The following is a 27,900-nucleotide window of genomic DNA, read 5'->3' on the forward strand; positions in this document are numbered from 1 at the left end:
CATTCAGTTAACAGTGACTATTCCCAGAGCAATAAAAATATATTCCACATGTAGATGAGATGTGCCCTTATATGAGACGGCCTGCATTCTTTCGCGGTACCAAGAAATGCTCAACCTAAAACACAACTGTGTTTTTCTCAGGCATATTGTTGTTTTATGTATACCCATCAAGGTAACCGGTGCATTCACGGGTTTGGATAATTTCAGGAAAAGGAAAGCATGTTTTTATGTCTCACGTTTACAGGCGCTTTTCTGATTTTTCTTTCCCCCTAATGGAAACCTTCCTTTTTTTATCAACAGTGGAGGAGATTCAGGAGACTTGATTTATGGAAGCTTTTTCTTATTTGCAATTCAGCAAGAATAACCATATGAAAGACCATTTGTAGAAAAGTGCAAATTGCTACTGAAAATGATATTGAAAGAAAATGAGACCTGTTTCTCCTTGTTGAAATTGAGTGTGGATAGAAGGAGAGACAGCCATCGTGGGTCAGAGGGAGCCTCCCAGGCTTCCTGGATGCAGGCTCCCGTCTCCAGACCCCTTCCTTCTTGACCGAGGGGAGAGGACACTGAAATGATGCACATATTGGTGCTGCTAATGTGAAAGATGCAGAAACCGTTATCCTTTTGAATTTCCAGTGGAAGATCCAACGACCCTTTGAACAGCTGCCACCATGGTGGCTGTGGCTTCATTTTGAGGAAAACATTTTTAATATCTTGTTGGCCGTGCTTATGGCCTGAAAAGCAGCATTAACGAGTTTTTGAAAACTATTATTATTCATTTTAGGCCAGTCCGTTATTTTTTTCTATTGCCCTTCCCGTGATCACTTATGCATATAAATATCATTATGCTTTTGCTTAACTGGGGCAAAAATCATGTGCATTATTTCAGTGTCTGCTTTTAAAAGTAGATGGTAGTATTTTATTTTCAGTTAGGTGAAGCAGAAAAATGTATCCAGCAAAGTCTTCATTAAAAAGCTTAAGATGGCTAGAACTAAATATACATTGAACACAATTACTAATTTATCAAATATGTTTGCATGTTGGTCAGTATATACAATAAAAAATAGTGTTTAATTTGAAATGTTAAAACCCTCTCTAGGTCCAAAAAATAGAATGGATGAGACCTACTATTTGATAGCACAGCAGGGTGACTTTAGTCAGTAATAACTATACATTTAAAAATAACTTAAAAGAGTGTCATTGGATTGTTTGTAACCCAATGGATAAATGAGAGGATGGAGACCTTATTCTCCACAGTGTGCTGCTTTCACATTGCATGCCTGTATCAAAACATCTCATGTGCCTCATAAATATATACACCTACTATGTACTCAAAAAATTAAAAACAGAAAAAAAAAAATAGAAACCCTCTCAATTGTTGCTGCACCCAGCGTGGAAGAGGAGGTGTGCGAAACCATGCTAACGTGGCGCCATGCCCTGTGATGAAAGAGCCACCTGCTTAGTTGTTGGCTCCAGTAGAAGGAGAAGGAACACACCGTTTGCTTACTGGATGGCAGAGCGTTGGCATGCTCTTTATCCCTCATAGATTCCTTTCAGGTTACCCCCAAATAGGGTGACCTAGTTTTCCTCATGAGCATGGCTTATTAAGGGCCCCAAAAGTCTAACCTCTGCCAACTCAGAGATGCTGCTTGGGCAGATACAGGGCCTGAGCAGGGATAAGGAAAGGTAACCATCAGCTGCATAACCATGCATTTGCAGGTTCATTCTTTCTACTTTCGTCTCCGTTGCTCCGTTTCACATATCTTTTTTTTTCTTCCCCCACCCCCACTCCTTTTTTTGAGACAAGAGTCTTGCTGCTCTGTCACCCAGGCTGGAGTGCAGTGGCACGATCTCGGCTCACTGCAACCTCCACCTCCCAGGTTCAAGTGATTCTCCTGCCTCAGCCTCCCAAGTAGCTGGGATTACAGGCGCCCGCCACCACACCCAGCTAATTTTTGTATTTTTAGTAGAGACGGGGTTTTACCATGTTGGCCAGGGTGGGCTCGAACTCCTACCACCCGCCTCAGCCTCCCAAAGTGCTGGAATTACAGGTGTGAGCCACTGCACACGGCTTGCTTCCCCATATCTTTTTAAAAATGTTTTTTTGCAACATTAGCCACCCTGAGAGTTTCTTCACGAAGTTCCTGTGGAGGTGGCTGGCTGTCTTCGTCACTTTTCTCCACAGAATGTTTCTAAAACACACAAATTTGGCCAAACAGCCTCCAAAGCAATGATTTCATATCTCCTTCCTCCTATTGTTCACTAACTTTGATTAAGTTAGAGAAAAGTACCTGCACTTTTCAGATACGGTGGCTCCGCGTGTTGGAGAATTCAGTACCAGATCCATGGCTCATCCTAAGCAGGGCAAGGAGGAGGGGAGCTCTTCACCCCTGGGCGGGTTTGTAGTGCGGCTTGTGCGTCTCCCCAGATTGCAGAGGAGAGGAAATACATCCCCTTCAAGATGAGAGGACACAGCTGCAACGTCTTATTTTAAAAATATGTGTGACTTTTACTTTCTGCTTCATACATGCATCACGTGTTTGAATATACTTTCTATTATTTGTGAGTTAACATTGCTGTTTTTCTCCAAGTGTTTGAGTGAAATTGATTCTCCACGCAGACTCTCCTTGCTCACCCTGAGGTTTCAGGGCTTTGACCTGAGGGCTGAGACCACAGGGCACAGCTCCTGACCCACGTGGCTGAAGGGCTTGGAGCAGGAGGTAAGGGGGCTGCCGGCGTAGCTCCAAGGTGATGAATATTTCTACTTGATATTTCTCCTGGTATTTCTGCACTTTAATGACTATTTCTACTAATACTTGTACTAATAATTTTTAATGGTTCACATTGAGTAGGTGACATTTTGATACATTAATGAGCCTTATCAATGACTTTTAAAAGTTCCTTAGTGTGCCAGGATACTTTGCTGCAGCCCTTGGAAGGAAGGGGAGAGGGTGTGGCTGTGGCCCCCATTCTACCCTCTGAGCATGAGTCACAGGTGGCACGCCTAAGAGTAACATCCACGGCTGAATCGTCACCGGCATTGAACTACACTTCCAAGGTTAGTCAGGGAGGCTTTCCTTTAACATAGCTTGCCCGTACTAAAAGCTGTCAGAATACTGGAGAAATGTAGGCCTTGAAGATAGAGGGGTGTTTTCAGGGGTGGCTGCCTTCACTCTGGAATGCTTTGCGCCTGCTGGGATGTTGCTAGCATGCCTGTGGGGAGAGGCCCGGAGGGCTGGGCTGCGAGGGAGGCTGCACTGGCTTCTGGGAAGCGCTGGTTTCTGGAGCAGGCCAGCCTGCGGGACTCCAGGACTGAGGCTTGCCCAGCCACTGTGGGTCCTGACGGTGCAGTAGGGGCTGCATTTTGACAGACTTACAACAAGTATCCCAGAGAAAGATGAGAGCAGATGGGGATCCTGAATTTTGGTTTCCTGGGGACAAATGTTTTCTGGCTTGTTCTCATGTTTCTGGGAAATAATGGGATTAAATTCGAGTATCTTTCTTGGCTACAGGAATTGATGGAAGAGGAAGTATTTTGAACTCAGTGAAATGAGCATTCCTCTGCACTAGGCCGACCCCTTTCTGTGGCAGCCCACTGGAACATAAGCACCCCATGTTGGGAATTTCTTTTTTTGGTCACCAGTGTATCCCAGACCCCTAGAGTAGCTCTCAGTAAATATTTATGTAATGAAAAATCTCAATTCTCACAACCACCTTAGGAGGGATAATAGCATAATCCCCATTTCACAGACAGAATGAATGCTCAGAGAAGTTGAGCCACTTACTCAATGTCACTCAGCCTGGGAGTGGTAAACTAACACTTATGCATTGTATGGAACTGCCCACGAGTCACGTTTGTTCTATGAGAAGGCAGAAAATACCTGGGGAGGTCTTGCCCAGGGGTGTGTATGTCTTAATTGATAAACCTCTGGAATTGGAAACGTAGAGGGTAGTCCAGGGTAGAATTTAGGCTCAAGCTTACTTTGAGAGCATGTTGCCCTAAGAGTGGAATGTCATGGAGCAAATTCCAGAAGCTTTCGCTCACCCAGCCTTTTCAAAGTCCATCCCAAGACTGTTGGGTCCACATGTTGCTCGGATGTCATGAGATGTCCCTGGTTGACACGTTGAGGACACGCTAAACCACACGAAGATAATGGGTGTCATTTTGCATGACTCACAGCCCTTACCATTTGAACGTGCAATGGATGCTCCGAGAAAGAACAGACCTTGAGTCCTCGTTTGTAAGACACAGCTCTCAGACGCAGCCTGTCCAGAGTTCTGAGCCTCAGTTTTGGGGGTCAGGTGTCATTGTCTTAAGATGCAGTTTTGTGGACTGGTACAGAGTTCAGTCTAAGGCAGATGTCTCTCTTTTATTCCTGTTGTCTTTCAACATTTGGGCTACTGGGTAGATGGGCACCAGTGACTGGGCAGATTGGCACCAGGACTTTGTCTACAACCTGCGTTTCCCTGTTTGTTCTGCCATGGGGCATGAGGCAGCGCCTGGCTGACCTTGGACTTGCAGGCAGCCTCTGTGCATCCCCTGGCCCCTGGCCTTGTTGTTAGATGGTGCATTTCGTTTTCTGGAGAGAGAGAGAGAGCTGGACCACTGTGGCCGTTGTCAGAATTCCACTTTCGTCATCAAGGATTCATTTTCTTTATGTCCGTAATGTGATGGGGCAGCATTAGCAGTCGGTCACCTGTGTTTCCAAAGGGAGAAGTATTTTCAGGATGTAGAGACTGTGGCCATGTTAATAACCAGGTTCTAACTTTCCTAAGAACCCTGAGACCTTGTGAGCAAGAAAGGGCACAGCATTTGACATCTGAGTCAATCCTGGCCAAATGTATACTGAATTGCCACTAGAGAATTCACCACCACTCCTGATGAAGCCAGTTGGGTAGTTTTCCTTCACTTGTGAAAAATTAATCATGATGTTAGCTTGTTATATATTGCGAAGAGATTTTTTATAAGTTGGTGATAGATGATTTTTAATTTTTTGGACTCTCTGTATTTCTACATCTTCTTTGTGGGAAATTCTTCAAACTCCATGGGGGCTTGGTGACCCAGCCTGATGGTATCGTCCATCCTTGCAGCAGTGGGTGGCCCCTCTGTGCTGGGCTCTGTGGAAGGCGCAGATAGACAGGAGGCTGCTTGGCCCTGGGGAGTTTGCCGTGCAGGGGGTGGTCAAGGACCAGAGAAGGTGGTGTGAAGAACTGGCAATAGAGAGTGGGTGTCAGTGGGCCGGGACAGGCAGAGCTTCAGGAAGTGACAAGTAGTCTCTGGGGACCGGCACATCTGGACATGGACAGTCAAAGGAAGACTGGGGGCACATGGGGACCAGGACACCTGGACATACACAGTCAGAAGGAAGACTGGGGGTCGGGGTGGGACAGCATGATGCAGAGCTTTGGCGGCTGGCTGATGGAGTCGTTCTCATTTGTGAAGACACTGTCCAGGGCTAAGGCAGTACTTGCCAAGGCAAGGCCACCGTGATCCGAGACTGGGAGGCCCAGAAAAGATGCAGACAAGGTAGGAGTCGGCTCTGTGTGACTTCCCCATGACACCAGTGGGCCAGGCTACAGTCACCGTTTGAGTGCCCGTGGAGGATTGGTTTACTTAGTAAATTCGTTGTATTTTAAAAGTCAGATGGAATTTGTCTTCATATTTTGCTCATGTCAGTGAGGAGATAGATGTGTGCTGTCACTTAGCAGTGTCCACTGTCTTTCTTCAAATCAAGGCCAGTGAATTTTCTGATTGCAGGCACTTCAAAGCCGTCAGTTCCATTCATTGTTTTTCAAAGTATTCATTTCATTAAACATCCCATCAGAAAGCCTCTGATAGAGGGTGCCCTCTCATCAGGTCCGTGTGCACCAGGAAGTTTACAGTTCAGAAGTGTTGCATGCTGAGCACTCTTTGTGAGATACTTTGGGGGCTCAGGGGGCTTGGAGTTTATTTGTTGGGGGAAGCAATGTTGGTAGGGGGTGGGGGTTGCACCTTGAGGTTTCTAGGCCAGCCCAGGACGGTGTGCGGCCCCAAGCCACTAACACAGCACTCCTAGTGTTCCTCACAGCAGGTGGAAAATGCATTTATAAGATATTTCTTCCTCGGAATTTTTAAGTGATTTTACTTCTATTGGATGCTGTTGATAGCCTCATTCTTCTCAGGTCCACCTGTCGGTAGGCCCAGTAGTCAACTCCTAACTAATAGAGTAGTTATTAGCTGGTTAGTTGTCTGCAGCTAAGCAGGAATGGGACTGGATGGTGGGGACTCCTGTGAGAATGCTGATGGGTGCCGCCTCCTCACCTGTGTGTCGCAGGTGTAGGCGATACCTGGGAAGCCGTTGTACGGGGCTGGCATTTGCTACTTTTATAAGATGTCACAAGCATGACCCAGGAGCACACCCCATGAGAGTCACAGTGGTACCAGCACCTGCTGGCTGCTCTCTGCACTGATGACAGCTGTTAGGGAATCACATTCGAGACTTTAACTAGATTGGTCCAGAGTGCTTCACTCTTCTTCTTTAAAAAAAAAAAAAAAAAACAGTAAACGTTCTTTTTTAGAGCAGTTTTAGGTCACGGCAAAGTTGAGCAGAAGGACACCCACAGCCTCCGCCATTGTCCCCCACAGTCTGTTGCAGCCGATGAGCCTGCACTGACAGCACTGTCACCCTCAGTCCATCTGTACTTTAGGGTTCACTGTTGGAGTGTGTTCTGTGAATCTGGACAAATGTATAATGAGCTGTATCCACCACTGCGGTGTATAGGATCATAAGAAACAGTTTCACTGCCCTAAAAATCCTGTGGTCCACCTCTTCATTTCCCCCACCGCCTGAAATCACAGATCTTTTTACTGCCTCTATAGTTTTTCCTTTGCCAGGATGCCATAGAGTTGGAATGATAGAGGTGTAACCTTTTCAGATTGGCTTATATCACTAATATGCATTTAAGCTTTCTCCATGTCTTTCCATGGCTCAGTAGCTCATTTCTTTCCAGTGCTGAGTAATATTCCATTGCCTGGATGTACCATGGTGTGTTTATCCATTCACCTATTGAAAGACATCTTGGGTGCTTCCAACTTTTTGCAATTATGATTAATGCTGCTAATACACATTTGGGTGCAGGTTTTTGTGTGGACCTAAGTTTTCAGCTCATTTGTGTAAATACCAAAGAACATGATTGCTAGATTGTATGGTAAGAATGTTTTCAGTTTTGCAGGAAACTGCCAAACAGTCTTCCAGAGTAGCTGTACCACTTTTTATTTCCACCAGCAATGGATGAGAGTTTCTGTTTCTCCACATCCTGTCAGCACTTGGTGTTGTCAGTGTTAGACTTTGGCCATTCTAATGTGTGTATAGTGGTATCCCCTGGTCATTTTCATTTGCAGTTACCTAATGACATATAATGTGGAGCATCTTTTCATGTGTTTATTTGCCATCTGTAGGTCGTCTTTGGTGAGGTTTCTGTTCAGATCTTCTGCTCATTTTTTAATTGAGTTGTTCACTTTCTTATTGTTGATTTTAAGGGTTCTTTGTATGTTTTGGATAATATTCCTTTTCAGATGTGTTTTTTATAGATATTTTCTCCCAGTCTGTAGCTTGTCTTCTCGTTTTCTTGATCTTTCTTCTTTTCCCTCCTAATAATTGTTCTCCTTCAAGGTTCTCCAGCTTATTGATATGTTGTTTAGGTAGGTCTTGGGCTTCATTTTGCCTGTAACATATCATTAGCATTTTCCTTACAGTTTGATAAAATTAATTTCAACAATTTCTACACTGTGAAACCTTCTGAGTGAGCACATCCTCAAAATCATCAACTCTTCCGATGAGATAATTGCTTAGGAGCATATACAGTTCTTAAAAGCACTTTTATACATTGTATGAAATGTAGAATGGGTGACATTTTATAAGTTATATATTGTAGACATTCTAGACTTCATTGCAGCTAATAAGCATCCAGGAATCTGTGAAGTTCTTATGAATGATAATTCTCCCCATCCTGTGTCAGTGCTAATAACATCTGTAATTAACAGCTAGGGAAGTCGTTGCCTGTTGGCAGCTGTGCTTATTGGCTGAAGTGACCACGTGCAAACCAAGCCTGGCTGAGCCTTGGGAGTGAAGGGATGTTCAAACCCACAGACTAGAAGGCAGGTGGGCAGCTGGCACCCAGATCCCATGGATCAATACCATGTGTGTGAGAGAGAGGGTGGGAGAGCCTAGCTGCCAGAAGGAGGCTGGTCTCTCCCCTGCTTCATGAGTGTACAACAGGAGACTGGCAGCCCCAAAGCAGCTAGTATCCTCTGCCACTGCCCTGACCGAGGACCAGGGCCTTTGGCTCTGAGACTGTGTGACATCTGATGGCCAGGGCATGTACATCATCACAAGGAAACAAGACCTGGAGGGGGCCGGTGAGCCAGGGAGCATGGTAGAAGAGACAAGCCGGAGAGCAGCTGGCTCTGGAGGGGCACTGGCAGGACCCGAGGGTGCAGGCAGCAAGCAGGCTGTTGGGTGCTGCAGGCGCTCTCCATTGGAGCAGTGCTGTGGAAGCACCGTCGGCCTGCCGCCGTGCTGAGTGATGCCAGGGCCACGACAGAGGCTGGCGTAGGCACGGGAGCGGGACCACACGTGGCCAAATGAGCAGGAAGGAAGGGACAGGGCAGGATTATTTTAGAAACTTAGAAAAATCATACCTGCTTGCTGTAGCAAAATTAGAAGATGTACATGGACAAAAACGTAGAAGTCACCCCTTAATGCCAGTACTCCAGGATGAAAGTGGTTATCCCCATAGTTTGCACCCCTGTTCAAGTTCACTCTCTCTGAAACACCTAAACCACCCACCCCCACTCTCCAAGGCCCTCATGCTCACCTTGACTCTCCTCATCACCCCGCCCCCTCCTCAGAGTGCTTGCTAATGTCACTCTGGATCCCACCTATCCTGGCTTCCATGTGGGTAGAAATCTTGACTTTTCGTTACAGTGAATGTCATAAAAGGTGCTCAAGAAATATATCCCGAATGAATGAATGGAACAATAACTGGTAAACCTTTAAAGATATTTATCAAATGGGATCCCACTACAAATATGGTTATAAAATGGGATCACACACTTACATGTGTGCATGTTTATGAATACATGTGTATAACTGAAACAAATGTTCTATGAAATGATCCTAAGTGCATCTCACTCCAATCCTCCAATCTGGTTTTTTTTTTTTTTTTTTTAAAGCTCTGGTTGCAGCTCACTAAAGTAATTTCATGACCCACTAATTATCTCACATATTTTGTAAAACTCACATTTTTTTTGTAAAAAAAAAAAAAGCCAGTAGCAGCACTGGCTCTTTGTCCAGTATTGACATGTTAACTGTCATCCTAGTTGAGCCAGCCCCCTCCATGTAGGCCAGTCTGGCGAAATCCAGTGCTGTGTCTCTATGCAGTCCACGGGCACACTGAGTTCTCATTTGCCCGGTTGGAACAGCTGATGGTTAGTTCTCAGCGTGATCACCGTGGTCAGATGGGCGCCCCATGTGGTGCCTTGTGGGAGAAAAGTTCCAGGTTTTCTTTAGCTACTTCCACAGGTACACAGAGGTGTGCTGGCCATGGGGTTTGTGTCTCTGCATGTTCTTCCGCATAGTATGAGGTGCAGGCTTTTATTTCATAGGGACACACCAGTGTCAGACAGAACATGGGGACAAGATCACACTGCAGATTCAGATATGCCTTCTGTCCTTTCAAAGGGTGTATCCTGGTTCATCCTCTGTCCCTGCCTGCTGGAATAACTGCTTCCCCCGCTGCGTCCTGTCCTCGTGCACCCACCCAGGCCACAGAGCCCGGTCTGTGAGCAGCAGGAGGGCAGAGCCCTGTCCTCCTCTGCAGCATAACCCATAATTATGGCTCTTAATTTACATATTCCATGCCTGCCTTGAGAAAATATTTTACCTGGAATGTCAGTTTTTTGGGTACCATCCACTGGAGTTCACATTCATTTTCACCAGTTGTTCACTTAGCAGACCATTAGAAAGGAGGTCCCTGCGAGGTCCCCGTGAGAGGATAGGAAAATGCCATTTAAATAAAAGGTCAGCAAGAGCGAGAGTCTCCGAAGTTAGACAGGCATCCGGAGAAAGGTGGATGTGGAAAGTGAGGTTGACTTCTGGGCGCATGTGTGGAATATCCAGGCCCTTAGAGGCTCGGGTCTAGTGGTGGAGGATGAGGCCCCTCTGCCATAGGGAGAGCCTGTCTTAATCACGCCACGCAGGTGGAACAGACTCTATGCAGAAAACTTGCGGAAGCATTTTGCTAACATCACGAGAACATGTGATTCGTTAGTTGGAGTGGACAGGAATGACTTCAGAAACCAGAGCAGGGAGTCTCGCTTAAAGTCTTGGCATCCTCGCCCCTCGGCCTCACACCTCCCCCGTTCCCGATTCTCTACTTTTGCTCTCCCCGATTGCACAGTAGCCTCACTGGATGGACAGGTGCCCTCAGTGTGTTCCCCGGGCATGCGTTTCCCACGCTGAGCTCAGAGGTAGCTTTCAGTAAGTGCCAGCTGGATTTTGTCACTCCTTCAGTTGCAATCTTCAGTGGCTCCCCATGGCCTGCACCAAAATGTTTATAACCCTTGGAAGGTGTCAGAGCCTGTACACCCCAACCCTGGTCTGGTCTCAGATAGTCTCCCCAGAGCTCCCAGCCATCAACTTTCTTGGTTTTCAAATACACAGTGTATCTTGTGCTGCCACACCTGGCAGAGAGGCTCCTCAGCTTGGAGCGTTTTTCTTCCTTCATCTACGTCTGTGTTTTGTAAACTTGTCATCTTTTCAGATGTTGCTCATGTAGCCCCTCTCTTGTGTAACCATTCTTATTCATCTGAGGTGTAAGTTGCCCACTGCCCCACCCTGTGGGCCTCTTAGCACTTTGTCCATTACTTTGTTAAAGTAGCTGGCACGTTGTGTAAGCTTTTCCGAGGAGGACAAGGGGTTCATATCTGGCTCTCCATGGACACTGAGTTCCTGGAGATGGCTGGGACTTTGGTGCTTAGCCCTGTGCTGGGCACTTTACAACAAAATCGTGTCTCCATTGCAAAAAGTTTGTATCATGTTAAGCTTTGCTCGTGTAGTTTACTAATAAGTGTGTATCAAAGATTAAGGTAGAAAGTAATGATTTTGATACTGCTTCTTAGACAAAGAAGGCGGCTAACAAGAGCCAACCACTGACTGGAGAGGCTCCGGCTGTCACCGTGATTATTAATACATTGTAATGACATTTTGGGGATTCCGCCATATTTTGTATGGTTGCCAGCAAAATGTTGACAGTTGTATTGTGGTTAATAAATTCATTTAGATTTATAAGCATTGTTTACAGAACCTGTTCGCCTGCTGAAACTCTAACAGCATCTGTTCCTTCTTACTAATTAACTGCTAATTACAAATGAGCTTTGTGTGTTTGTCAGTATAACTGGCTCATGCATTTTGTAAGGAACATTAACAAATTGATTTACATAGTGGAAAAGCAATCAAAAGAGTAAACTGAACAGCACAGGTCTAAAGCCCTTTAGCCGGCTTTTGAATGAAGCAAACTTTTGATGGCTATAAATATTGCCATAAATTTTCCATTACCTTAATTCTTTGGTAAAGGTACAGCGATCAAAAGCAATATTGAGTGAGTAATACTCAAATTAGAGCACTGCAGCAGGTGGCCGGGAGTGCTGGTGATGGCCCTGCAGAATCCTTTGGGGGCCGATAGAGGAGAAACACCAACAAGTGGTCCTGTAGGAAATGCATCCACTCCCTTGTGGGAATGCTGCTGACTTTTGAAAGCTGCACTCGTGACTGGGGTTGCTTCAGAACCCAGTCACTTAAGTACAGGTTCACACTGTGATATCGAAGTCAGTGTCTCAGCCAGCCTGCTGCAAGGCGCTTAGCCGGGAAGTGGAAATCTGGTGTCTGTCACACTTTTTCTCCTCTTGGGTTCTCAGATTTCAAACCGTGTTGATCTGTGTCATGCTTCAGGGGGCAGGCATTTAAAGTTAACCAGTTTAAGTGGGTGATTCCAAAAGTCCAGGGCTCCTTCATCCACTCTTCTCAAGGAGCGGGAGAAGATGGAGACAGCCCTGAAGAATCAAGTTCCTGGTATGTTTTCTAAAGCTCCCTCCTCGAGATAGAGAACTATGACCCAGGCCAGAGCCACAGGGGCACAGACAGAACAGGAGGAACGGGTTACACTGGTGCCATTTACATTCACAGTTAACTTTCTAGGTGATTCACAATGCAGGTGTAAAACTGGAGATCACAACTCAGGCAGCTGGATGGAGAGTTCAAGGGTTTTTTGTTGGGTTGGGGGGGTTGTGGGAGGGGGTTGAGACGGAGTTTTGCTCTTGTTGCCCGGTCTGGAGTGCAGTGGCGCAATCTCAGCTTACCGCAACCTCCGCCTCCGGGGTTCAAGAGATTCTCCTGCCTCAGCCTCCCAAGTAGCTGGGATTACAGGCATGCAACACCACGCCTGGCTAATTTTGTATTTTTAGTAGAGACAGGCTTTCTCTATGTTGGTCAGGCTGGTCTTGAACTCCTGACCTCAGGTGATCCGCCCACCTCGGCCTCCCAAAGTGCTGGGATTATAGGCATGAGCCACTGCACCCAGCCTTCAAGGGTTTTTTTTTGAAAGGTTTAGGCTAAATATGATTAACAGCGGTTACATTAAAGTAATACTGAGTACTTTCCTGAGAGGGAACGTTTACTCTAAAGGATCCAGATACACAGTTGTTGGCCTGAGCCCTGACACTGATGTTCAGGGTCAGAACAGCTGGGAAGGTGGGGAGGGCTGCTAGGTCCAGGGCCCTAAGCCATGGAAGGAGACCCTACTTGCCAGCTGTGAGCCTCAGGCAAACCCCTAGACCTCTTGAACCTCAGTTAACTCAGGTGCAGAATGAGGATGATAGAACAACCCTCTTCCCCAGGGTTGTTGGTGGATTAATAAGATGATGGAGTCTACCAGTAAAGGAGGTGGCATATAACAACAGCTCACTAAATAAGTTACTATTGTCATGATCTCTGTATTCCTGTGAAAGTAACCACATGTAAACACTAGACATTAAACCTTATTAGGTCATAGTAACTCCATATGGGAGGAGAGTCTCTTTTCTCATCAATAAATTTATTACTGTTAATTCCAGATAAATGTTAGAAAAAAATTAAGCTTAAAAATAGAATAGATAAGGGAGTACAGGCTCCCTTAATAAAGGCTAAGAGGGAATGTCAGAGCCGGGGGTGGTGGCTCACACCTGTAGTCCCAGCACTTTGGGAGGCTGAGGTGGGTAGATCACCTGAGGTCAGGAGTATGAGACCAGCCTGGCCACCATGGTGAAACCCCATCTTTACTAAAAACACAAAAAAACTTAGCTGGGCGTCGTGGTGTGCACATGTAGTCCCAGCTACTTGGGACACTGAAGCAAGAGAATCACGTGAACCCAAGAGGCGGAGGTTGCAGCGAGCAGAGATTGTGCCACTGCACTCCAGCCTGGGTGGCAGAGTGAGACTGTGTCCCCCCACCCCCCCAAAAAAAGAAAAGAGGGAATGCCAGGGTTACTTTACAAAGCTGTAGTTTGTTTAACACATTTAATTGACAATCAAGCCATCTCACAAATGTAAGTAAATGGCACTATTGATAAATAACAGGCTTGCCATTGGTGAATATTTTGCCTCCAAAGTGATTTTGCTAAAAGTATGTGTATATACAGTTTCTGTAACATTTCATATGGTAGGAGGAAGAAGAGGCACTGTGCTTTCTGAAGCATTTATTCCTCCTTAGAATTTTTCCCAGGGGTAAGTGTTCAGAAAATCTGAAGAATTCAAAATAATTTGCTCCAAAATATTATGATGTGATTAACTACGTATTGTACCAGCCAGCATTTACTGACCATATGTATGTATTAGCCACCATCAGTAGTTATAAAAAGGAAATTGATTTAGTGAGATACAGTCTACACTTTTAAAAACTCACAACCTAGCAAGAAAGTCAGGCTTGTCTCAGTAACTGCTGTGCAGATCTGACTGTACTAGGTATGCACTAGAATGTGCCAGGGGAACCCCGAAGGGATCATTTGCTTCGCTTTCCATGTGTTACATCCATCCCCAACCTTCTAGTATTTTCTACAGATGACATTTAGTGAACAGAAAGCCTCTCTCTCTGACCCTAATTGATTAAAGACTTTTTTTTTTTAAGAAGCATAAATTAGAAGTGAACACAACTTTTTGGACTTACAAGTGAAAAATCCAGTGCCTAAGACTTTCTGGTGAAATGTTGCCGCTCGGGAATTTCAGTTGGAAACATAAAGCCATTCATTAAGCTAACGCGGGTGTACGTGAGGTTTATTCAAGAGATAAATTGCTGGTGTGTTGGTGTTTAGAACATCAACTCTGTCGGATATTTCATGTGACCGAGGTCTGAGCATCAGAATCCATGCCCATGCCACTGCTCTCCCCAGGGGCCTGAGTCTGCATTTACTGTGAAGCAATCTTTTATGGAAAAAACTTGCAAAAAATAGAATGAGTTTGAAATAGAAAGTCTGAGAACACAAACCTGTGCTTTTCCATTTAAATATGGCACAAGGAGATCCCAAAGCTGTTGGACCAGTGATTTTCAACCCTGGATATGCCCACGGGTGTGGGCGTGCAGGCACACATACACACGCACACACTCCGTCCACGGAGGGTCAGAGTCACACTCATTGGGCCTGGGTGGGGCCCGGGCATCTATTCTCTAGTGTTTCCCATTTAAAGGTGTTCATCAGAATCACCTGGAGAGCTTAAAAAAGCAAAAAGCAAGCCGGGCACAGTAGCTCATGCCTCTAATCTCAGCACTTCGGGAGGCCAGGAGCTCAAGGCTGCAGTGAGCTATGATCGCACTGCTGCACTCCAGCCTGGGCGACAGAGCAAGACCCCATCTTAAAAACAAAACGTGATGTTGGAGGAGCCAGACTCTAGGCTTTGGGAAGGGGCTTTCCTGGGGAGGGCAGATTTGTTGAGAATCCATTTTCCCAGCGAGTTCGTTTCCACCCCCTTAAGAACAACCACTTTAGAAGAACATTAGGCAGAGGAAAGGGGCTCCTACGTGTACCTCCTTTCCAGGAGATGTGGGAACAGGAGGAGTACTTGCCTTTTCATACATGAAATGGTTTTTTATTTGCAGATTATCATTTGAAAGACATTTTGGTAGCCTGATTTCCACTCAGAAATAGATGTCACCAACACAGGATGAGAGACTCTTATAAAGAATTACGAACTTCTGTTAAAATGAGAAAGTCAATGAAGGGAGGCAGCATACCCAGAAAAGGGGAAAATTAAAATCTGAAATAATTTATGAGGAAAATAATTTTCCATCTAAGAGTGTATTAGCTGTTTATTCAAAACCCTTGATGGGAATGTTTGTAATCAGGTCATATTGTGATCTTCCCACAGCCTGTGGTTTCTGTTTTTCCCCTCCTGGCCTTACAGTTAGGGGAGTTAGGGCAGGTTCCCTCCAGAGGTGACACCTGTTGACAACCAGTCTTTCATGACAGCAAGCTGCTGTCCATTCTGATGGCTTCAGCCTCTGTGCATTCTGATGGCTTCAGCCGCTGTCCATTCTGATGGCTTCAGCCGCTGTCCATTCTGATGGCTTCAGTGGACATTGCAGTGACCATTAAAGTAAAGTGGCTTAGAGACATAACACGGCGACATTTATGTAGGGGCAGAGAAGACAAGGCTGTTCCTCTCCTTGTTCTCACCTTTGCCCAGAAAGTGTTAGAAACAGCCTCTTCCTTAGCCTCCTTTTCTATACTTCTCCCTTTAGAAGCCATGCACTGTGGTGGGTCAGATCTCAATACTCGTGGGTCCGTGTTGTCCTAGCGGTACCATGTTGTACTTCAGAAGGGCCATGCTGGCTGCAGAATGGAGGCTGTTGGAGGGCAGGAGCCCAGGCAGGAGGTGGTCGGTAGAGCAGCATTCCCAGAGAGAGCCTGGTGGGCTCTCAGAGTTGGGGGCTGCAGGAATGGAAAGGAGAAGACATATCTGGAGGCTTTCGGAAAGTAGAATAGATAGGACCGATGGACAGGTTGATTCGATGTGGAGGATGAAGGAGAAAGAAGAGTTTTTTTTTTTTTTATAAATGAGGGACACTTGTGCTGAAGGTATGTATTTGGGAATCATACAGAAATAGCCATTGAAGACATGAGAGAGTGTGAGATCCAGGAATTTGGTGCAATGAGAGCTAAGGACCACTGGTGGTCTTAGGAGGGACAAAGGCAGAATCCCCAGAAAGCAAACAGGACCAGAGAAGCGGGAAAGAAACTTGAGAGACTGTTCTCCTAGGAGAACAAAAAAGAACTTGCCTTTTGAAAGAGGGAGATAAAGTAGGAAAAGGACTACAGCATGTCCATTGGCTTGTGGGATGGAGGGGTCTTTGATGACATCAGGGAAATGATGGAGCAGAAGCGGCGGCAGGGCTATGAACGATGAGCAGGAGGGAGCCACAGCACAGCAAGTGTAGACACCGCCTAGGAGAGGCCCAACTGTGATGCTAAAGGGAGGAACAGGTCTAGAAGTTATCGATTCGCTTGGAATAATAAATGATACAGTGGCGAACTGTTCCAGAAAGAAGTTACCAACAGTCGCCGCTCACTAGGAAACCCTAGAGTAGACGTACATTTGATTTAAGTTAGTAGCTTACGGGCCTGATGCGGTGGCTCACGACTAATCCCCGCACTGTAGGAGGCCAAGGCGAGTGGATCCCTTGACCCCAGGAGTTCTATACCAGCCTGGGCAACATAGTGAGGCCCCATCTGTACAACAAATAAACAGATTAGCCAGGCATGGTGGTGTGCACCTGTGGTCCCAGCTACTCTGGAGGCTGAGGTAGAAGGATCACCTGAGCCTAGGGAGGTTGAGGCTGCAGTGAACTGTGATCTCGCCACTGCACTCCAGTGTGAGCTGTGAGAGAGCAAGACCATGTCTGAAAAAAGAAAAATTGTAGCTTATCATTTAGCAATTCATAAATAATTACCTGTATTTGTCAAACACTTCGTACATGTTAGGCATTGTAATTTGGCTTTATGTTATGAATGCATTTAATTTTCACCAAGGGACGATTCCTTCCAGACAGCTCTGAGTTTCTGTTTTCCTTGGTTGTTGCTGAGAGCATAAGTTATATTCCTGCCTATAGGCTCATCCAGGCCGCATTTCCTCCTGATTTCCTGTTTCCTCACCCGTATCCTGCTGCTCTCTCTCTTCCCCTGAAGCTCTGGGAAGTCTTCCCTACACGCTCATTAGTGAGTTAAGGAACTTTGATGTGTCTCCGTGTTTAGAAGAAATCTTGCCGTCACCACTCCATGCAGACGCTGGGATACTAAGGTTTTCACCTGCTGCTTCCTGCGGGATGTCGCTCATGTGGAGGAGGGCCTCTCGTTGGAAGCCCAGGCTCACTCCATGGCTGCCCCTCTCCCCAGCCTGCTGGCGTTGGGCTTCCTCCGCTCCTGGTTTCTTAGTTCTGGAGCACAGACTCCGTGCTCTGGAGCAAGAGTTCTTCACTGTGGTTCTGTAGATAGAATTCAGGGGTCCGCGAATGTGGCTGGGGGGAAATTCATTCGTATTTCCACTGACTTCGACTGAAAGTTAACGTTTCCTTCAGATATGAATGTAGGCAACGATCCACAGTGGTGTTTTGTTAGCAGAACCTGTGACTTTGCCACCCTCAAAATCACAGACATGTTCACAGCGCATTGCCGTTGTCCCAGATAATTGAATAGGTTGTTTTCTCTGGTCACCGTTTGGCAATGGAAGGTACTAGGTCTGCCACTGGGTCTCAGTGCATTAATAAAGCAGTGTGCTTATTACCCAGCCACAGGCGTTGCTTATATTTTGGTGACTGTATTTTGATATGATTGGTTCTTTTGTAATCCTATGAATTTAAACCTAATACTTTGAGAAGGGATCCTTTGGGACGTGCCAAAAAAGACCCACCTGTAGCAAGCCTCCATGTGGATTTGAGTTTCTTACCCTATGAATTCTATAAACTGAAGTTTTCATCCCATGTGTCAGGTTTGTTTTTTTTGTTTTGTTTTGTTTTTTTGAGATGGAGTCTCACTCTGTCACCCAGGCCCGAGTGCAGTGGCACGGTCTTGGTTCACTGCAACCTCTGCCTCCCAGGTTCAAGTGATTCTTCTGCCTCAGCCTCCCGACTAGCTGGGATTATAGGCATGTGCCACCATGCCCAGCTAATTTTGTATTTTTGGTAGAGATGGGGTTTCACCATGTTAGGCAGGATGGTCTTGAACTCCTGACCTCAGGTGATCGGCCCGCCTCGGCCTCCCAAAGTGCTGGAGTTACAGGCGTTAGCTGCCGTGCCCGGCCCGTGTGAGATTTGATGTGAAGTTGAGGACACGGGTCTTCATAATGAAACAGAAGTGCTCATTGTCCTGTTGCCACCCTTGTCGGTTTTTCACCCTGCAGCCCTTTGAGACCAAATCTGCCTGTGAAGTCGCTGTTCATCCCTGCAGGCTCCCTGTACCCCCAGCTCCCAGAACCCATCACCAGCCCTCCTTCTTAGAGAGTGGTCTTCGGGAGGACCTGAGCTTCGGCTGCGGCCTTCCAGCCCCCTGGGTCTCACTGCTTGCTGCCTCCCCTTTCTCACCCACACAATTCTTTCCTTCCCTCCCTCTGTCCCACGCTGTGTCCCTTTCTCTTCCTTTCTTTGAGTTCATTTCAGAATTCCTCCTCGGTGTCTGCTTATTGCATGGCACGGTCTGGTTGGGCCCCACTTTCTTCCTGGAAAGGTATTTTCTGGGGCCAGGGAGCAATGTTACCATTTCCAGAAAAGCAGTCCAGCTCCTCCTGCACAGCACTCTTTCTGCTGTGGGATGCCTCCGCCTCCCTTCGTTCCCCATTTGCAGCCTCTAGGTGCCCTGTCTTGGCCAGCAGCACTTGCCTTCTCTTCCCCATCATCTGTGGTCTTTCTGCACCTGGGCTCCCCTCCGCCCTGCATCTGAGATCTCTGTTTTAAGGCCAGCTCTCCCTAGATGTGTAGCCACTGGGATCTTTTTCATCTCATCAGCCTAGCTCCCGGCAGGACCTCCCCACTGGACTTTTCCAAGATGTCAGTGGACAGCATAGAGCTGGGGTGCCAGTGGCCACCATCGGGAGTCACTGCCACATTTTCTTTTCCTTTTGTGTCCACACTTGGCACAGAATCTTCTTCCAGGCAGCCTCCTGGGCCGCCAGTGGTGTGGAGCTGGCCGAGAAAGGAGCCTGCTTCCCAGCATGGCCTCACATTGTCATCAGTGTCACTCAGGACCTTGCCCGCTGCCCCAGCTCAGAGCTTGAACCTCTCCCTCTTGGAATCTGGCAGGAGTCCCCAAAGGACCACCCAGGCTCAGTCTTGGCCCCATTGAGTCTGTCCTCCCCACTGCTAATGAAGTCTTTCCTGCTGAAAGCCTTCTGGGCCATCCATTGTCTGCCTGTGAGAGTCCTCGGCTTGCCCCCACAGGCCTCCCCTGCCGGTCTGGAGCTCAGCTAGTGGCTCTCATCTCCACTCCCTGTCCATCTTGAATGTTCTAAACAACGAATTAAAATGTTTAACTTGAATGCAGGAGCCAGGCAGGTACTTGTCATGAGTGGGTTTGGAGGGGGCAAGGGTCTGGGTGAACAGGGAGGGCAGCTCCCACCCACAGGGGCAGCCGTCCCTCACTTGCGCCCTCCTCAGCCTCAGTGGCCTCGTGTTCCCGGATGGTCCTGGTGTTGAAGGAAAGCCAGGAATTTGGATTTGCATATAAAATTTTATCATTTTTAAATGTTGGCAACTGATTCCAAAAATCTATTATGCACTTTTGGGGGCTGATGAAAATGCTTCTGCAGACTAGAAATAGTCCCCAAGTCACCAAGATGGCATCTCTGCATTAAACCCACCCCCTGACCTTCCCACGAAGCTCCTGCAGCTTGGCACGGCATTTAAGGCTCCCCCTGACCGATGTCTGCCTCCCTGTCCCAGCTTCTGTCTCATCCACTCCCAACACCCAAGTCCCTAGGCATCTGAGTGGCCTCCTCTCCGAACCTGGGCACACAGTGTTCTTCCATCCATCACTCATCCACCTGGCTGGTCCTGCTGGTCCAAGACATAGCGTTGGTGCTGTCGCCCCCTCAGAAGTCTTCCTGGCTTTCCTCTCCCTGGCCCGAGGGGGTGCCTCTTTTCTGTGCCTCATCCCTTCATTCCCAAGATGGCCTTCTGTAAGACAAACATTGTAGCACCCATCACACTGGGTAATGATAATTTATTACCTTTGCCGCCTCCCCCACTAGACTCTGATTTTTGTATGAGCAGCAATTATAGTTTGCTGTTCCTTGTCCCCAGGACCTAGTGGGGTCCCGGCCCAGCAGTGGGGCTCCACATGGCTGAATTGAACAGTCAACAAGGCAGCCTCCTAACAAGTCCTGTGTCATCCTGTTTAGCCGTTCGCTCAAACAGAGAACTGTAGATGGGGCTGAAGCTTAGTCCCAAGAGCCACACATGTCAAGGAAATCTGGGAGCAGCAGCCCAGCCATCCCAGGATCTCACAAAGGCCCAGCAGCAAGTACAGGGGAGACAGCCAGACCCCTGCACAGGAGTCTAGAGGCTGAGTCTGTAACTAATCCAGCTCAGACCACATGTATGGTGTGCTCAGGGGACCCCCAGAGCAAAATCCAACACCATGCTGGCTTCTGGGAGTGCAGATTTTGCAGACATGGAAGCAGAAAATCATATGATACCCTGAGTTCCTGAGTCAGCAAACGGAATGGGGGAATGAGCATTGTTCAGCCAGCTGGGCGAACCCTGGGCTTCCTGAGGACACCCCATTCTTAGCTGTGGGGTCACCACTATCCACCGACAGCCCAGCCGGTCGACAGCAGACCTTTCCTTCCAGTTATTCCTTTCCTTCCAGTTATTCCTTTCCTGACCCCCCCCCCGATCTGCTTTTTAATTTCTCAGTGTATGTTTTCTGGTATAATCTGCTTGTCTTTGCCTCTCGGTGACATCCACGGAGTCACCCAAGTCACCAGCCGGGACTATTCCTGATGTCATCTATTAACCTTCTCCAGCTGCTCCGAGATGGTCACCAAGTCCTTCTTCCCTTTCTTCCTGAGCATCTGTCCCGTCGTGCCCTCCGAAGGAGTCATGCATGTGGTTTGGGGCCTGGATGTGTGTTTGGGCCTCCTCACTGGTTTCCAACCTTCAGTCTGTAGCCCTCAGATATGCCCTCCTTCCTGCACCCCCAGAGTGGCCCCTCCACTCACCCTTCAGCTGCAGCCACAGGGTTGAAATCTTTCCCAGGCCCTCCAGACCTCCTGGATGAGGCTTAAATTTTAAAAATACTAAATTAAAAAAAAATTTTAATTTCACTATATTCTCAAACTTCTCACCATTGCAGTTACCATATTTTACTGAGATTGTATATTTAGATGTCTTTTTCTCCATAAGTCATTGAGTTTGAAAGAGACATCCTTGTAAATCATTTACTGGACTGTTGGAAATTTCGATCTAGGACTCAGAAGTTACAGAAGATTTTAAAGAAAGTCATTTGTAAATTCTTACCCTGAGGTTTATAGACCCTTGTGAAATGCAAAATGGAATGTAAGAGTTTGCATGTACATCTTCTCAGAAGAGGTTCTATGGGTTATTTATTTATTATTTATTTATTGACAGAATCTCACTCTGTCACCCAGGCTGGAGTGCAGTGGTGCGATGATCTCAGCTGACTGCGACCTCCACCTCCCCAGTTCAAGCGATTATTCTGCCTCAGCCTCCTGAGTAGCTGGGATTACAAGCAGGCACCGTGATGCCTGGCTAATTTTTGGTTTTTTTTTTAGTAGAGACGGGGTTTTACCATTTTGGCCAGGCTGGTCTCAAACTCCTGACCTCAAGTGATCATCCCACCTCAGCCTGTAAAAGTACTAGTATTACAGGCGTGACCCACTGTGCCCAACCTATTTATTTATTAAATAATTTTTTGTTGTTGTTTTTAGAGACAAAGCCCAGGCTGGAGTGCAGTGGCATAATCACAGCTCACTGCAGCCTCTAACTCCTGGGCTCAAGTGATCCTCTAACCCCAGCCTCCCCAGTAGCTAGGACTACAAGCATACTCCACCATGCCTGGCTTTTTTTGTAGAGAACAGGGTCTCACTATGTGTCCCAGGCTGGTCTGGAACTCCTGGTCTCAAGCAGTCCTCCTGCCTTGGCCTCCCAAAGTGCTGGGATGACAGGCATGAGCCACTGCGCCTGGTCTGGTTCCACAGTTTTGAAGAGGGCCTGTGGCCTCCCCCTCTTCCCCATCCTAAGAGGTTAAGAGCTGTGGATTGCTTGACATGTCCCAGGTTCGACATGTTGAGCAAAATGCTAGGAGGGTGGTGCAGAGGCCACCGTGGCAGTCACACAGGTAGACCAGCAAGCACTCCAAGACTCAGCGACTTTTTGAATATAGAGGCTTAAAGGTAGAACATCTCATGAGACTTTAGGTTTCGAGAATGGGTGCCTGTAAGAATGGTGGTTTCATTAACAGAATAGCAAACTAAGGAAGAAAAGATGGTTTGGTTCAGAAAAAATACTGCTTTAGAAAGGAAACTGGGACTGAAAAACGGCCATCTTTTTCATGTATGGCCATTCTGGCTTTTGACTCTATCCCAAAATACAGAATGCTCTTTCTACTCACTGACTCTTGCTTTCAATTTTGTCTAAAAGAAAAATGATTCACAATGAAAATGATGTTGTTACACAGTGTACATACTCAATATTAAATTCATAAGTAATGTGAACCACTTCATAAATTATTTAGGTTGAAGTTCATTTTGTATAGAAAATTACATCTTTGAAAAGATATGACAGGGTTAAAATGAATCAAGTTTATCGTAAAACTGTTCTAGCCATAGTAAATTAATCTGAGTCATTTTATCAAATAAGAAACATTTTTAATATTTTGACTATTCATCACTCAAGCAGTACAGCTGGTGTTACTGAAGAGATCATTTCTATTTCAGTACCGTCTGTAGATCCTGAAACGGGCGCCTTTCTGTGCTTGTTTGCCACGACAGTGGCTCTCGTACACGACGCCTAACGTGTATCTCATGTGAAGGTGCAGCCCAAGCCAAGCTCCCTGGGGCTCCGTTTTCCGTTTCTTGACCAAGGATGGCAGAATCCCCAGGAAGTGCTCCTGTTCCTGGCTTGTGTTTTACATGATGGATCTTACCAGGCGGCCTTGGAAGCCACTTCTCACACCAGGGTTATAAAGTCCTATGTTTTCACAGTCTGGTTAATACAATGAGGAAGAATTAAAACCTTTGGCATAACAAAGCTTTTGGTCAGTTCTATAAGCAAATGCCATTCACAGCCTCCTGAGTGATACCTTTTTCTAGGCACTGCTTGGTTTCTGGGTGCCCTAGACAGGGAGTATCCCACCGGTTACACTCTCTGTCACTCGCCATCATCCTGAGGATGCTGTTTCCATAAGCCATGGCTCATACAGCCGTCCCCACTCCAGGTTAAGGTCCCTTGCCTGGCTCCTCACAGTGCCCTGGGCATGGTCCTATCTTGGCCTAGCTTTCACTAAACTGCATCTGTCCGTCCACCTATTAGAGCCACCTGCCAGTGTTGAGCCTCTTTAGGGATTGGCCTGTGCCCTCATCACTCCACCCACACCCAGCACAGTACCTGGGATAGAGTCCATGCAAGGTAAATGAATAAGGAACAAGGTCCTACTCAGAGGCAAATCTCTTCTTTCTAACACTGGGAGCTATTCAGCTGCCTGTACCATATCAGAACATGCTTAAGAAAAAGAGGGAAATAATTATTGTCTCAACAAAGATTTGGGTTTAGCAAAAACTGGAAATAATTCACAGTGAAACTAATAATCCATTGATTGTGATGTCCATGGTGAGATCATTACTCTCGAGAATAATACTGGTAATTTAGTTTGCTCGGAAGGTACTATTTTCAGAGTACTTTTACATTTTCCAAACCCTGCTGTGTGTGTTGAAATGTAAATCACACAGCACCCAGATAACCAGATGATTTTCCTCGTCCTTTTAACAGAAAGATCAGGTGAGAACACACAGTTGCACCTTGATCATTTAGTGCTTTAACTTTTCCCCCCAGCTAGTAAGTATTTGAGGAGTTTCTCTCATTTGGGCTCTGAATGCTTTTCTGATAGTGGGGAAGGTTTTAGGAATTGTATTCGGGGCTGCTTTGTTGTTGCTCCTTCCTGCCCATCTCAGTGTTAAGGGTTGTCAGTATCCCAAGACTGATTTCCCTGTCCGTCCGTGTGCTTTGGAGGTATCCTGGCCATGTTGTTCCTTAAAGCTCTAAGTAGAAATGACTTTGTTCCTTGGCACTATGTTAAATTGGCTGGTTAATTCTGGTGTTATTTACCCTGTAATTCATTAGTTTCACCCCACCATTGGCAGCTGACAGGCTGTAATTTCACGCCTTGCAATAAAAGATGTCTCATAATCTGCTTCATTTAGCAGCAAGAGAATTTAATGAAATTAACTGCAGTCCTAATTATGCCAGTGAATACTAAAGACCGCCATCAAGTTTTCTCAGAAAAGGACGAGGTCCAACTCGTGAAGGATTTAGAATATAATTTCCTGGGAAAAGTTGCAAGTGTCTTCCTTCTATTGGCCAACGAGGGCCAATTATGAGTACACATATTACTATAATTAACTGGTTTTTTTGTGAATGTCTCTCCAAGTATTCATTGTTCGAAATCAAATGTAAAAGTGATTTCTCTATCGGAGTGGTGTAGATGATAGAAACAAGCTAATGTTAAGTTTTCAGGCAGTGACCTCTCCTGCAGTGGAGGACAGGTTTGCAAAACATCACAGTTTGAGAGCAGGTTTTCATGTGTGACTCTGGAGGGTTTCTGGAGTGAGCAGAAGCCCGGGCCCCCTTATGCCTGTACGCTCAGAGCTCAGCCTCTGCAGCCACGACTTCTCCATGCTGCGGGGATGCTAGGCCTGGATAAGGGTTGCCACCTGCTGGGCATGGAGTGTCCAGCCTCACCCAGCCCCTCGCCTGGCCCTTCTCCCTTCCTCATGGCCGCTAGGGCAAGCCCTCACTTCTCCAGGACAGATGGCCTTTCCCTGCTCCACCGTCCACTCTGCTTCCCGCCCCTGGAGGGGAGGAAGACGAGCATGGTCTGGGCGCCCAGTGCTCCTGTCCCCATCTCACACATGTGTGGAACAAGCCACTCACACCCTGACATGCTCCCCTCTCCCTCTCACCACGACTCTTTCTTGGTCCTGCCTTTCTCACTTTTCCCTCTCAGCCTTCTTCATAGCCTCTTCCTCTTCCATGGAGGACAGGGCAGAGGAAAGGTAGGGAGGAGCATTGATGCCTCCTGAGCAGGTCTGGCCTGGCACCTGCCTTTCCCACCCACCCCACGGTGTCCTGGCCCCAGGGCTCTGCAGCCCACAGCACCTCTTAACAGTGCTGTGGACAAATTCCGGCAAACCGTGGGTTAGTAACCGGACGACGTTAGCAAACACAGAGGCTGCAGTTGAGCCAAAGGAATGGAGATTCTGGAAGGAAGATGTGCGTGTTCCAACTCTGCAGAAAAGCAGCTGAAGCAGTGGGAGGTGGTCTGTTATATCTAAATGCAATGGAAATCTCCATAGCCACAAGTGACTGGCCTCTACCTCTCTTCCAATCTTGCTCTACTAATGCGTGGCCTTTCTGTAGTTCTGAAAGGAGCCATCTCCCCTGGGGCAGTGCCTGATGTGGTCTCCTTGGTCCCCTTGGTCCTAGCACCTCTGCATTATGCACCCTGGCAGGACATCAGCCGGCTGGCTCTGCCACCCCGCATTAGTGTCCATGCACCTTGGTGGAGAAGTCGCTCTGAGCAGCTCTGATTTCAGAGGCCTCACTTGGGAAATGAGGGTGCGGTGTTGCTTCTTGGTTTCCTAAGGCTGCTGGCAGGTAGGGCTTTACAAAGAAGTACTTTAGGACATTTTGGAATGAGCTGTTGTGTATTCTCACAAAAATAGCTGCTTTTGCAAAAAGTTTTCCTGTTTCTAGTCACCCTTCGTCTTTATGCCATCCCATCATTGGGGGTGGTGACTTCACACACATTTGAGATTTGAAAGCATGATGACTGTACTTCAAAGTTGGGGAATTCCATGGCCCACCCCACAACCCACTCATGTCAAGTGCATTCCAGGGAGCAATGGGTTTCCAGGTCCAAGTCCATCTGGGGGATTGTGGTCTGTGGTGGGCAGGGGCTGACTAACCTGCCCAAGGGGTTTAGCAAGGGAATGGCTGTTCCGGGACCTGGCCCAGCATCCTCCCACTGTACACAGCCTCCCTGCACAACCTACAGAGGGGGCTCCCAGGCAGGCTGTTCATGGGGTTGGTGTTCACAGGACTCTCCCACAGGAAGGGCGCTGAGCTGCAAAGGATCCAGGAGACCTGGTTTCTAGGCACAGCCCAGTGTTAGCCTTGGACACAGCAGCCAGTGTTACCAGGACCTCTGAGCTCACAGCCTGGCCTAGAGTGCAAGGAGCCAGTGGACCTGAGAGGGCCCTGTCCAGGCTGTCAGTGCTGAATATAGACCATCGGTGCCCACCTGGCGCTCCTGCTGCTCGGTCGGAGCTGGGAGGGAAACGTGGCTCCACTACAGACATGGGGTTTGGGCTGGGAGGCCATGGAATGGTGAAGATGCTAAGCAAGGCCATCTCCTGGGAAGGGCAGAAGCAGCTTGGCCCCAGGTGTCCGCATGTCACCCCCTTTCCCTAAACTTCACCCGTCCACCAACGCACCATGTGCCGCAGGCGAGTGATGGGAAAATGGCCCTCGTTTCAGAGAATTTTTTTTTTAAAGCAAAGTGTATTGTGTGTTCTTGCAGTTACTTGCTACCAATGTCCCTTGGGTATCTCCCCCCTTGGAGTGTTTGCAGCCGGCGAGCGCCAGGATGCCCGCGGCAGCATACTCTAGGCTTATCTCCGTGTGTGTGGCCCTGAACCCAGAACACCCGGAAATACAAGTGCAAGTGCAAGGAGCCCATGAACAGAAAGAAGAAGAAGGGGACGGGGAAGCGCCTCTTGACTGCTCGCCATAAAAATAATTGAGCTGAAATTAAATCTGGGGGCTTTGGTAGCCTCCTGTTAGGAAAAGAAATAAAACCCAGTGTTTTGATGCACACCTCGCACGTCTCATCTGCAGTACGCCAGAGGTAATTTTGGCGACAAGCAGTAAGGAAACCTGAAGTATTTCTCTCCCAGACCCTCCCAGCTTATTAAAAGAACTTATAGACATGAAAATACATTAAAGTGGGCAAAGCGGAGAGAGGGTGAAAGAGATTAACAACCTCCGCTGAATAGAGCCCATTGATGAAACAGGCCTGTGAGCTGCTGCCGACTCTGAAACAAGGTGCCAGGAACTGAAAAGAAGGTCAGGCCTGTCCAGAATTTAGGGGGGAAATGGAAATGTATATTTAAAACTAATATATGCCTGAGTGCTCATTTTTCCCCCGTTTCTGATTGGGAAGATTTACTCGGGAAGAGGAAAAACGGTTCTGTAGCCGATTACCCAATTTGAGCACCCAAATTAAAAGATTCACTTAAAATGCAGCAGAGACAAGCGAGGCAGCGGAGAAGGGCCCGGGCGTGCATAATGCCTATTGTCTGCGTCTGCGTTTGCTTTTTAATGCCAGCGCCCAGCGAGGGAGCAGGGCCCTCCTAGCGTGCGCGGAGGGGGCTTGGGGTGGAAAGGGGGGGGAACCCCGAAACAGGCCGCCTTTTGACAGGCGCCTGACAGGTATGGGTGCCTTTGGAGATCTTTTTAGGAAATTGGGTGTTTGCGAGTACAAATTGAAGCAAGCATGCTGTGTGTGTATGTGTGCGAGAGAAAGTTAGCCGTCAGTCAAGTTTTATC

General features: G+C 47.2%; 1 protein-coding gene across 5 annotated transcripts in view, besides 2 other annotated features; it reads left to right on the top strand.

The window, feature by feature from the left end:
* AGAP1 (ArfGAP with GTPase domain, ankyrin repeat and PH domain 1) overlaps window positions 1-27,900 on the top strand; it is a 637,751-nt gene that overhangs the window by 330,622 nt on the left and 279,229 nt on the right. The gene's annotated exons all lie outside the window — the stretch shown is intronic.
* Window positions 2,501-3,700: an enhancer, noted in NCBI's record as "MED14-independent group 3 enhancer chr2:236735809-236737008 (GRCh37/hg19 assembly coordinates)". NCBI's record gives its function as "activates an origin of replication core promoter dependent on BRD2, BRD4, P300/CBP and CDK7 cofactors, and independent of MED14, by STARR-seq in HCT116 cells {active_cell/tissue: HCT116}" and the evidence as "EXISTENCE:reporter gene assay evidence [ECO:0000049][PMID:35650434]".
* Window positions 24,660-25,160: an enhancer, noted in NCBI's record as "H3K4me1 hESC enhancer chr2:236757968-236758468 (GRCh37/hg19 assembly coordinates)". NCBI's record gives its function as "activates a minimal SCP1, AML or CMV promoter by ChIP-STARR-seq in naive H9 embryonic stem cells {active_cell/tissue: H9 hESC(naive)}" and the evidence as "EXISTENCE:reporter gene assay evidence [ECO:0000049][PMID:30033119]".

This window comes from Homo sapiens, chromosome 2 (genome assembly GCF_000001405.40).
Source record: "Homo sapiens chromosome 2, GRCh38.p14 Primary Assembly".
NCBI classification, from domain to species: domain Eukaryota; kingdom Metazoa; phylum Chordata; class Mammalia; order Primates; family Hominidae; genus Homo; species Homo sapiens.